Source organism: Homo sapiens, chromosome 11, assembly GCF_000001405.40.
Source record: "Homo sapiens chromosome 11, GRCh38.p14 Primary Assembly".
Taxonomy (NCBI): domain Eukaryota; kingdom Metazoa; phylum Chordata; class Mammalia; order Primates; family Hominidae; genus Homo; species Homo sapiens.
Window position 1 is genome coordinate 7,020,441 of NC_000011.10, and position 13,286 is coordinate 7,033,726.

Sequence of the window (13,286 nt, forward strand, 5' to 3'; positions counted from 1 at the left end):
CAGAAGTATCCCGCGCCTCCCGACCTTTGGCCGCTGGCATTCCTGCGCGGGCGGGAGCTGCGGGCGCTCGGGGGATAAGGCGAGGACGCACCAGCATTAATGGAATAGGAGAACTCCCGAAGCTTTTAGGGCCCTGGGAAAGGGGGCGTGGCTGGAAACGGAGCTACTGGCTTCGGAGAATTCTGTGACCCTCACCACCGCGACGACCCCGAGGAAACGCTGTCAGGTCGCCTTTGGTTGGCAAGGCGTGGTTGTCCTCGCTGTCCCGCGCCTTGGCGGAATGGGCACCTCACTAGCCCTGGCACTAGCTAGCATCGCTCTAAACTCAAGGTTAGAGGTTTTCAAATTCCGTCCTATTGTTGCCAGACACCCTCTTCGTTCCTGGTCCAGTGAGGCTTTCCTCCCTCCCGCCTTCTTGCCAAATCCCAGGCTCCTCTGGAGACTCCAGGCAGAGAAGGGAAACGCACAGTGGAGCTGAAATGAAGCCATGAGAAGGAGCCCCTCCTCAGTGTCCTGGGACCACAGAGAGTTGCAAGAGCCTGTTCTATTATTTAGCTGAGTGTGTTATATTAGGAAAATACTTTCGCATCTTTGGGCCCTGTCCTTCAAACTTGGGCTGGATCAGTAATATTCAAACATTTTATTAGGCAAGGAACTTTTGGTAGGATAGTCATTACAAGCAAGGGACTCCTTGGATTCAAATCTGACAACACCACTTACGAGATCTTGGCTGGATTACCTAACCTTTAAGCATCAGCTTAATAGGCGTAATATTGATAGCCAATAATAATAGTAACTATGTAACAGACTTGTTAGATTGAAATGAGTTAGTGTAGTTAAAATGCTTAAACCAGCCCCTTGCACATAGGAAGTAGTCTTGTGAACTATATATTTACAGTTTGGTGTTTAGCAGGGGTGGGTGGCCCAGCGCCTATCTGCTTGAGTTCACCACACAATAAGCTCTTGCATTTTTTATGACTCTGGAGACCACATTTTGAAAATTACTGGGCGTGGGCCTTCCCTGGTTTGAACATTCAGAGAGCATAGCATAGCATTTTAAAAATGTGGGCTTTGTTGTCTGACGGAACTGACATTAAGAGCTGTCAATCATTGTTATCCACTAGGTGGTGGTAAGCAAGTTGTTTAACCGCTCACCCTTAAGTATTTTCACCTGTAAATTGCAATGTATTTATTTATTTATTTTTTATTATACTGTAAGTTTTAGGGTACATGTGCACAACGTCCAGGTCAGGTTTGTTACCTATGTATACATGTGCCATGTTGGTGTGCTGCACCCATTAAATCTGTCTCTGCATTCAGTAATTCAACTATCAATTGCGGCTATTTAAATACATTAAAAAGCAATGTATTTAAATAGCCGCAATTGATAGTTGAATTACTGAATGCAGAGACATTGACCGGTAAGAACGAACACTGGAAGTGGGCTGTTCTGCCACACTGCTTCCAACCTGAGAATATTACCTGAACCTCATTGAACTAACCAAAATTAAAAGAAAAAAAAAAAGCTAAGAGGATCCAGTTTTCAGAGAAACAAAATGTGTATCTGAAGGAATATACCTGCTAAAGGGCAGAGGCCAATATGAATAACAAAGAGCACCAAGTATAGCATACGCAAGACTTTTAGGAATGAATTCTACCCAGTTACAGTTTGGGGTTTAGCAGGGGTGCCCGGCCTAGAGCCTATCTGCCTCCGTCCACCACACAGTGAGCATCTGCATTTTTTATGACTCTGGAAGCTACATTTTGAAAATTATTGGTCATGGACCCTCCCTGGCTTGAATGTGCAGAGACCCAAAGCACCAGCTTTGATGGGGGTCCTGGGAGCAGTCACCAGATGCCTAGAGATGTACCCAGGGTAGGAGTGAAGAAACTGCCTTGCATGGGAAGAGAGGGATAGCCCAAGTTCCTAGTCCAAGATGTTGCAGATTCTTCATAGCAAATAATTGAAGAATCTAAGAATATGACTGTGGCTTGAAGGCATAGAATTTTCCATAATTTTGGTTAATGTCACATAACTAAGAACAAAAATTGGAGTCAAGTCTGACAAGACAGCAAGGGATTTAGGGGCCAAGATCCTGATGAAAAGGGAATCTTTAAGCAGCCAACCTAAAACTTGGTGGTTTTCTCTTCAAACATTAGCAGAATTCTTAAGATGAACAGGGAAAGAAGATAAGAAGAAAGCTGTTGAAGTGCACAGAAAATTTTCAGAAGTCTCATCACAGATCGGAGGAGATAAAGATTATAGTTCAAAACCCATCAAGGAATAGATACCCAACTAGAATTCCTGGAGAGCAAAAGAATAAGAACAGAAGCAAACTGGCAATAAATAGAGATATAGCTGCAATTCAACTTTGAGTCAGCTCCATACCTGACTGGATTGTTATTATCTGCCCCCTCTCTATCTGCCTATGAGAGGAACTCTCTCAGGAGGAATATTATCATTCAGAACTTCTACAGTGTTTCGTATACAATGTCTGATAATTCACCCAAAAATTATAAGGACAGAAAGAAAGACAATAGAAACAAATTCATGGATGACTAAATTATTGAGCCAACAAATATATATTTTAAACATAATGGTGATTAATATGTTCAGTAATGGTGAAGAGTTGACAAGATCAGGAATTTTAATTGAAAATCAAATTAAAATTTTATGAATAAAAATAAAATTGAGAATGTAATAGGTGTGTATGACAGCAGATCAGATCCACCAGAGAAGAGGAAAGAATACGAATACCTGAATGAGAAGATAACCATTTTATATACACATATAAAATTTTAAATATGTTTAAATTTTAATTTTATATATATAAAATCTTAAAATAGGTATTTTAAGATTGATAAAGTATATATTTTATAAAATAAAATTTTAAATATATAATTTTAATTATATTACATATATAAATATATATATCATGTTTAGCTTGGAAATTTTTTATATAAAAACATTTTTATATAAAAACATTTGTACTATAAAATTTTTATTTTATATATGTATAAATCTATTTTTACACAAAAATATATAAGTATAAATATATAAAAATTTATGTATTAATATATAAAATATATTTATATTTATATTAATATATTTTATTTATATTTATATATAAAAATCTCCAAGCTAAAGTGCAGAGAAGAAAGCACAGAAAAGAACATAAGAAATTATATTAGGCCATCTTGCATTGTATAAATAAATAACTTGAGACTGGATAATTTATAAAGAAAACAGGTTTAATCTCACAGTTCTGCAAGCTTTACAGGAAGTACGGTGCTTGCATCTGCTTGGCTTTTGGGGAGGCTTCAAGAAGCTTACAATCATGATGGAAGGTGAAGGGGCTATGGGCATGTCTCACATGGTGGGAGAAGCAGCGAGAGAGGGAGAGTAGGGAGGGAGGTTCCTCACACTTAACCAGATATCATGAGAACTTACTATCACAAGGACATTACCAAGCCATGAGGGACACACCCCCATTACCCAAATACCACCCACCAGGCCCCACCTCCACTGTTAGAGATTACATTTCAACAGGAGATTTCAGTGGGGACAAATATCCAAACTATATCAGAAACATATGAAACACAATGAAACAATGATCTAACATACAAAATTAGAGTCTCAGAAAAGATAAAATGAGCAAAGATCAATATGTGAAGAAATAATAATTTAGAATTTTCCAAGCCTGATGAAAAATACTAATCCACAGTGTATAATTTCATTGTAACTCTCAAATGGTATATTGAAATCCTACAAATATTTCCAGGGATGCTTGGAGCCATGGTTTTGATCCTTGGCCAAACCAGAATAGAATATGCTACATAGGAATTAATGCAGTTTTGTGCTAACGTAGTTTTCCAAAAAATACCAAGAGGGAAATCTGTAACAGCTTGCCAATATTGCTTATAGAAAATTTATTGATTCATGGTTTGCATCTGGTTTCTGTTATGCTATCTTGGTTTCTGCTATTGAACCTGGTCCCATATCCTGGTTTCAGCTACATGACAGGAGTAGTATAAAAGACCCCTACTTGAATGAGCTGTGCCTTCCCTGAAATCAAAATATCTTAGTAGTTCACTTGCTGGCCATAAAGCACAACCTTGTGACTGAGAGAGGTCTCTGGAATCTGTGTGGGTATTGTGGACCTCCTTTCTTACCCCTGCTGCTTTGTGTCCATATCTGTCACAAATCTTTCATGAGTGTGTGTGTGTGCATGCATACAAGTCTATGTTATGCTGTATTTTTATAAATATCTCTAATAAGCTTAGAACATTTGTACATTTTAATGGAAAAAATATGTGAGTAAAATGTGAAAAAAGTATGTATTTCTAATTAAGCATGTTAGCAATTGAATTGGAGGAGAAAAAATGGTCACTTTTTGTATCAAAAGGTATCCTATATGATTTGGTTAAAGAAATACCTGAAAGCATAGAAGAGGAAAAAGATAGAGATGGAAATCATGAAAAAAAGATGATAGGCTTAAATAGTAGATCTATAAGACTTAATATGTAGACACAAAAGTTCTAGAAAAAAAGAAAGAGGAGTTTATAAAAGTGAAGAAACAAATGACTAACAGAATAATAGAAAATGTCTTTGTGTTGAAAATTTTTGAGAAGGCATGAATGTAGACCAAATAACTCATGACATTTCAGTCTGGATTAGTGAATAAAGACACACTAGACATAAAAAGGTATAATTTCTATACTGTGAGGGTAAAGAGAAAAGCTTTTAGGTAAAAAGGGTAAGTTATCTAAAAATAAAAATGACATTGGACTTCTCTTTTGTAATGTTGGAAGCTAAAAAATTGTTCAATAGCAGTATAGACTAGTAGGATAAAGGGGCTTCAATACATCAGCCAAAATATCATCTCTCCCTAATGTAGTGAAATAAATGTTTAAGGATTTTCAAGAATTCAGAGCCTGTATCACTCAGATGTCCCCTGAGTTCACAATTCAAGAAAGTACTCCAAACAAATAACAAACCAAAAACAGAAATACCCCACAAAAAATTATGGACAAGGAAACAGAGAAAGCCAAGATATAAAATAAATAATAAACCAAAAGTTACATGTATAAAGGATGCAATAAATTATTAGTCATTATGCTAAATGTGAATGGACTGAATTTTTCAATAGAAAGAAACTCTCAGAGTCACTCAAGTAACAAAATCCAACCCTATGCTGTTTTCTAGAAACATCTGTGAGGTGAGTAAAAAAAGATACGAGGCAAATGAGCAAAAATGTCAAATAATTGAAGGTTAATTTAAGAACTAAAGAAAGAGATTGGCCTTATATTTTGATAACAGGTACAATTTATGAAGAAGTATAATGCCATCAAACCTGCTAAATACATGGAGCTAAATACATGCATAAATTTGAGTACTTGATTAAAAAAATACAGTTCTATGGGAAAATTCAATATTTGTGTTTCAGAATTAGAACTACAATACAATAAAATAAAGCCACGCACAGATTGAATAGTATAATAATCTGAATTTCAAAGGTATATATAGAAACCTTATAACCCTAGAATTGATAGTATATTTTGTGTACATAGAACATTTACAAAACTGATTATGAGTTTTGCCATCTTCATCCTCAACTGATGAATGTGTTTTTAATTGCTCTGCATAGGCATGGGCAAGGACTTCATGTCTAAAACACCAAAAGCAATGGCAACAAAAGCCAAAATTGACAAATGGGATCTAATTAAACTGAAGAGCTTCTGCACAGCAAAAGAAACTACCATCAGAGTGAACAGGCAACCTACAGAATGGGAGAAAATTTTCGCAACCTACTCATCTGACAAAGGGCTAATATCCGGAATCTACAATGAACTCAAACAAATTTACAAGAAAAAAACAAGTAACCCCATCAAAAAGTGGGCAAAGGATATGAACAGACACTCCTCAAAAGAAGACATTTATGCAGCCAAAAGACACATGAGAAAATGCTCATCATCACTGGCCATCAGAGAAATGCAAATCAAAACCACAGTGAGATACCATCTCACACCAGTTAGAATGGCAATCATTAAAAAGTCAGGAAAAAACAGGTGCTGGAGAGGATGTGGAGAAATAGGAACACTTTTACACTGTTGGTGGGACTGAAAACTAGTTCAACCATTGTGGAAGTCAGTGTGGCGATTCCTCAGGGATCTAGAACTAGAAATACCATTTGACCCAGCCATCCCATTACTGGGTATATACCCAAAGGATTATAAATCATGCTGCTATAAAGACACATGCACACGTATGTTTATTGCAGCACTATTCACAATAGCAAAGACTTGGAACCAACCCAAATGTCCAACAATGATAGACTGGATTAAGAAAATGTGGCACATATACACCATGGGGGGTAGGGGGAGGGGGGAGGGATAGCTTTAGGAGATATACCTAATGCTAAATGGTGAGTTAATGGGTGCAGCACACCAGCATGGCACATGTATACGTATGTAACTAACCTGCACATTATGCACATATACCCTAAAACTTAAAGTATAATAATAATAATAAAAAAGAAAAGAAGCAAAGAGAACTTCCATACCCTTGCCCATCCACACAATGCATTCACACACCTACCTGCATCAGTGCCCCTTTTTAGCTAGAAGCCTGTTCATGTAGTCACTAGTTTCCATCCATTCTTGCTCACATGCCACATGCACCTAACTCCAGTAATTCCCCTCCCTTTCAATGTCAATTTTTCCCTCTATACTATATCCTTCCCATCATCAAGTATGCTGTCATTTCTCTAAAACAAAACAATAAAATTTTCTGGGGCCCTGTTTTAGTTAGTGTAGGCTCTTATAACAAAATACCATAAACTAGATGGTTGACAATGACAGAAACTCACAGTTCTGGGGGTTGGAAGTCCAAGATCAAGGCACCAGCAGATTCAGTTTAGTGAGGGCCACTTCCTGGTTGATTTATGGCTGTCTTCTTGTAGAGTCCTCACATGGCAGAAGGAACCAGGGAGATTTCTGGAACCTCTTTTATAAGGACACCAATTCCATTCATGAAGGCTCTGCCCTCACAACCTAATCATGTCCCAAAGTCTCCACCTCCTAATATCATCAGATTGAGGATTAGGTTTCAGCATATGAATTTGGGAGGACACATGTAGTCTATAGCAGGCCTACTTCCCTCTCAGCTACTGTATCGTTTCTGTCCTTCCTTTTGAGCCAAACTTCTTAGAAAGTAGTCCATTGTCTTCAATTTTTTCTCCTTCCAGTCTTTTTTGGCCTAGTTCAATTAGGTTTCACCCTACCGTCTCACTGAAACTACTGTTTTCAAAGTAACTATTGATCTCAATGTTGCTAAATTCAATGGTCAGTTTTCAGTCTCATCTCGTTCTATCAGCAGAATTTGGCACAATTGATTTCAAGCATTTGGTACAATTAATCTCTCTTTCTACCTTGAAACATTTTCTTCACTTGGAGTTTTAGACAGCACGCTCTTCAGGTTTTTCCTCTCTGGATGTTCTTTTTCATGCTTTTTTGAAAACAATTTTATTACCGCCTCCCAGGTCTGCTCCCTCTCTGTGACTTCTAAACAGTAGAGTGATTCCTCAGGGATCAGTCTTTGAATGTTCTATTCTCACTCCCGGAATGATCTTCCATGGCTTTAAATTCCACCTATAAGCTAGTGACTTCTAGTTTGTATCTACTGCTCAGACTTTGAATTCTAACTCCAAACTCCTTCCTTGTCAATTTGACTTCAATGTTTAATAGGCATCCCAAATTTACCAAAAATGTACTCCTGAAATGCCTCATAAACTTGGTTTTTTAAACAATCTTCTCAATCTCTTTCTTCCAGATTCCCAAGTCAGTATCTTAGATTTGCCTTTGACTCCTTTCTTTTGTCTTACCTCCCAATCTGTTCTGTCAGCAAATTCTTGCAGTTCTATCTTAAAAACCCAGAATATGACTACTTTCAGCACCACGACTGCTACCGGCCTCGCCCTAGACATCATTTTCTCTCATCTGGATTATTATAATAGCCTCTTAACTGGTCTGCTTGCTTCTGCCATTGCTGTACTCCAGGATACTTCATATAGAACCAGGATGATTCTCTTAAAACATAATAGCTATTATTCACTTTGCCCAAAACCCTCAGCTGGCTTCCTAGTTTACTCAGAGTGAAAGCCAAGGAATTACAGTGACATATAGAGCTCTACATGATATCTCTCTTCCTACCTTTCTCATTTCCCCCCATTTCTCTGATTCGTATTCCATTATTTCGCTGCCTTATCCCATATTAGCCATTCTGGACTAATTGTTATTTCTTCAACTTGCCATTCTTGTTTTCACTTTACTCCCTTCTTTCATTAATGAGGTGCTGTTGATTGATTCATTCACTGCTTTAGGTACTGAGAATTAAAAAAATGAATGAAATAAAAATCTTTATCTTTTATGGATCCATTCTCTAGGTGGGAAGGTGTGGAGTAAGGAAAGATCAATACCCACTAAATAAATAAGTAAAATTATTTATTGGGTGAGAGTAAAAATACAAACAAAAGAGTAACTCAAATTTTGTTACTTGTATTTGTGTGTGTGACTGTTAATTTAATTATGCAGCATGAAGAAAAAATGTAAAAGGATACATACCAGAGAATTGATATGTTCAATGTGTATTGTTTATTGGGAGGGATTGATGTAAGTACAGACAGGAAGAAATTAGGGGCCTATAAGGAAGTCTCTCAAACTCTTAGTAAAAATGGAATACTACCACTTTTATTTTACCTTTATGCTTGTGGTAGACAAGCGAAGTGACAAGTTCTTTCAATTTGGCAAAGAAATCCTACAAGCATTTTTACCTTTTTGCAACACAGAGATGTCATTTAAAGTATATTAACAGCAACAAATGAACAAGTACTACAATCACTCATATTTGCAGACCTTTTAGATATTAAAGATCACTTTCACGAGGCATTGCAATAACTTCAAAAGTCCAGGTTTCTTATAAGATCTCTCTGAAGAAATAACACTTCCAAATATAAGTTTATATATAAACGCCTCTATCCTCTTCCACACATTTACCACAGAAGATACAGTGTTCAATATAGGATCTTTGCGCTCAGCAAACCTGTGGGCACACGTCCTTCCAAAACAAAAATAGAACAAGATAATAACAGTATGAATATTTATACGGATATCTTTCATGGGACAGCAAAAATGTTCTATTTCATGGTTTTATGTGCATGTTAGAAACAATTTCAAAACCAAACCTAGAATTTATAGTTTCTCTTAAGATGCACATACTCGTGAATGTAATATTCAGCACATTATAGCAATTTAATATAGTATGTTGTAACCAAACTAAAAAGAGTTTACCTTTTCTCTCACCCTACACTTGGTTATCCTTTTGAGGTAGTTTTTGTATGAATCTTTATAATCTAAGCTTCTGATTTCTGGTTGTTATTGAGGTTGTTGGGCCCATCTTGCTAACTAGCATGCCTGAGTCCTTAGTATCAGTTGCCTAGAGTGTACATTTTCTTAATGCCAACGAATACTGGCTCCTCCTTTGCCAATAACGCTTAAAGTTCTCCATGAAGAGTCCAGCTGAAGAAATGCTGTCTTAAATAAGGATAAATCACCCAAATCTGGCTGCTATATGAATATGAAAACTTGTTCCAAATGGGTAATCCTTAGAAAAAGGAAGCCATCAGAACAGAGCATCCATTTACCCATGTGATCCAGAGGTTTCTCATCTGAGAGGCAATTCTCAATCCTGAAGCTACTGGATCTATTAGCTTCTAAGACTGTCTTCAGGGGCCAAGGCCATGAATTCATCTTAGAGCAGTTCTAGTCATGTAGGATTTGAATGAAATTGCACTATCCATAAATCAACACACAGCCTTGGTGACTACTGTGGTCGATTTGACTCAGCTGTTCCTTAAATATATCGAGTAGGCTCTTAACTGAGGGTCTCTGCACTTGCTATTTCTTCCTCCTGGAATGCTCCATCTCCCAGATATCTGCATTGTTCACACTTTCACATTCTGCAAATATCGCCTTAGCAGTGGCTTCTCTTGCTATTCAAAGAGAAATAGGACCCACCCCCACTTTTCACCCCCAGCGCTGTATTCCTTGCCCCACTCTGATTTTCTCCATAGCAATGATTACCACCTGGTATACTACAATTCATTATTTGTGCCCCTTCAACAGAATGTAAGCTCCATGGAGGTAAGGGCTAGATGAGCAAGACTTTGGATATTTTATTCACTGCTAGACAGGGTCCAGAAAACTGACAGGCACAAATAAGATGCTCAATAATCGTACGGATTTTAGATGGACGAATAAAGGGACACTGCTTATTGGGAGTCAGCCAGTCTGGGAAAGGTCCTTCAAAGCTGGGGTTCAATTCCCCGACTTCCTCTTTCCCACATCGGGAAAGCAAGGAGGAAGGACGTGCGCCCACAGGTTTGCTGAGCGCAGGGGATCCTATATTGAACACTGAATCTTCTGCGGTAAATGAGTGGAAGAGCAAGCATAGAGGCGGAGAGTGGGAGCAGAGCTCCCTTGGCCCCTCCAGCCAATGGGAAGAGAGATTCGCTAGGTCAGGCGGTGGGGTCCAACCACCCACGCTGGCCCGCAGCCCTCTTAGCGGGTTTGCTCTTCTCTCAGGGGAGGAGGAAGGTGAGGCATTAAGGGCCAGAGTGCGTTCCCCTTTCTGGTGGAACAGCAAATGCCTGTTGATCCTTTCCTGTCCTTCTGAGGCCTGGCTTTTGGCGCTTATACCCTTTGCCACCGACGCCTGGTGAGACCGAGGTATGGAATGACTCTCCTCTTCTCTGGATGCGTACTTTGTCCACTCTAAAATGGGAAGTTGGGTTCTGTGCGAGTCCATCCAGCGTCCACATTCTGTGTGGAAAATGAAAGGGATGTGGACTCAGGGCCCAAGAGGATGAGCTGCCAGGACACCCCAGGGTGGGACACTTCTGGGCATGGCGCCGGCCATGACCAGGGTGGAAAAGCGACCTTGAGGGTGCGAGTCCACGGTCACCTGCAAGTAGTCTTCGGCTGGAGACCTAGTGTGGCCTGTATCCATTTGTCAAATTCCAAAGAGATAAATGAATGCCTGCCAACTGTGCTTGAATTTGGCAGGCACTGCGTGCAGTGCCCGCTTCTTGAATCTCCTGGATTAAAGCGGTATGAATAGCCCCACTTTCACCAGCCTTGACGAATGGAGGCAAGCCCCTCGCCTCTCTAACCAGGAGCAGGTGTTCGTCCTTCAGTCTGAAGCTATTCCCGCCACCTGTGTTCTGCCGTCTTTCATTCACTCTGAGTCTTCCCCTAGCCCCTCTCCCTACTGAAAACGAAACAAACCGCCTGAAAACTGCTTTGCAGGTGCAACAGCTGCTCTCACTGGTGCTCCAGGTTATCAGTATCTGTCTCTCCACTTCTCCCTAGCAAAGTTCAAGAAATATTAGTAAGGTAGCACATGCTTGCTCCCGGCGTTGGTCATCCTCTCTAGCCTATAGTGCTTTAGTGCTTTAGCACCCCCACTCCCTCTACTCCAGCAGTGACCCAAAATTGCTCTCTCTATGCAAGTTAGCAATTATTGCCAACACGCCAAATTCAAGTACAGATGGCAGGCATTCATTTCTTTAACTTTTTGGAATTTGGCAAATGGATATTGCCTTTTTACCTTTTTATTTCTCCACTTATTTAAGGAATGTATTCTAATGAGAGATAATTGTCAAAAATTGTCCTAAACTCAGTTGTGTTTTGAGTTAGGACAATTTGTGGTAATTATTTTAAGTACATTTTGGTTTTTTTTATGTAGAGGTTTTGTTTTCTTTGCTTAGTTGTAATCTTCATATACCTGCCAACTGTTTTGCTGTATGACGAGGTCATTTTCATGACTAAAAATCAAGTGTGTGCTATATTTTTATACATTCATTATAATTGAATCCTTATTGACAATTATTTACTATTCTAAACAAACACCCTTATGCACAAAACTTTCTTTTCTGTATTTAGGATTTTTTTTTCAGTGGATGATTTCCCAAAGAAGATACTGTTTGAAAACTCATGCATGTTTGTAAAATTCTCAGTAGACATGCAGACATGCAGTTTTTCAAGAGTGTAGCAATTAACATTTATATTAACTCCTTTTATATGGTACTGCTTTTTAAAGCTTATTTTTGTCATTTTGTTCTTTGAGAAGGGCTGTTTCCTGGTTTGCATTAGTTGTGCTATCTGCCTAAGTTTGAAAATTTTCTGAAATACTTGTTAGCCATTTGCTTTTTGCTTTTTTTCCCCTTCTATGAATAGGCTATTCACAATAAATTTGCTTTATTGCTATTCTGATCTATTTGTATCATGTCATTTTAGGGATATGAACATTTTCAAGACAATATTTTAGTGTGAACTGTAACTCATAAAAGACTGCACTGAGCATAAACATGCAGCTTGGTAAATGATTACCAAGTGTTCACTCATGTAAAACATCAGCAGGTCAAGGAATAGGACATTCGTTACCAGGACATAAGGCCCCCTTCATCCCCCTCCACCTCATCTCCACAGAGGTATTAGGAAATGGACTTTTATAATAGCTACTTCATAATCTTGTTTGATTTGGCTTCTTCCACTAGTTATGAGATTTATTCTAGTGGCATATAGCTTCAATCATATGTTTTCTTTGCTGTTTAGGATTTCATTGTACGAATTTACCACAATGTATTGATTGGTTCTACTATAGATGAACTCTTGGATCTTTTCAAGTGCTTAGGAATTACAAGCAGTGCTGCTGTAGTTATTGTATATCTCCTGGTATACCTACACACATATTTCTATTGGATATTTTCTAAGAACTTTAATTGCTCTGTCATAGTGTATGTATATTTCCAGTTTTAAGGAATAACCATTTTAGAATAGTATTTTTTAGAATTACAGAAATTTCTTGTCACCCAATTTCCCCAATTTTTAATATCTTGCATTACTATGGTATATTTGTCACAATGAAGACAATAAGGCAATTAAGTTGCACTTAATTTGAAGTTCACTAGTTTTTCCATAGTGTTCTTTTTCTATTCCTGAATATTACATTTTTCTATTCCTGAATATTACATTTACATTTATTATTACAGTACAGTATTGTCCTGGGTGGACATCTTCAATTTTAGTAGTTAATACAAACAGTTTTAAAGTGGTTTTATTAATTTACACTTCAGTTGTCTATTTGCCATATTCCCTGTAAACATTTTTCTGTTTTTGGTTGGCCATTTGTGTTTGAATTCTAAGGACAAGAGGTTTTAATTTCAGCA

The 13,286-nt window shown here is 38.1% G+C and overlaps 1 protein-coding gene across 3 annotated transcripts in view; it reads left to right on the top strand.

Moving 5' to 3' along the window:
- The window catches only part of NLRP14 (NLR family pyrin domain containing 14), a 70,455-nt gene continuing 57,174 nt past the window's right edge, over window positions 6-13,286 (top strand). Inside the window, exon 1 of one of the 3 annotated variants that reach the window (XM_011520044.2) lies at window positions 6-330. The gene's annotated coding sequence lies outside the window, so the exon portion shown is untranslated. The remainder of the gene's footprint in view (window positions 331-13,286) is intronic. The other 2 variants (NM_176822.4, XM_047426867.1) reach the window with 2 other exon arrangements.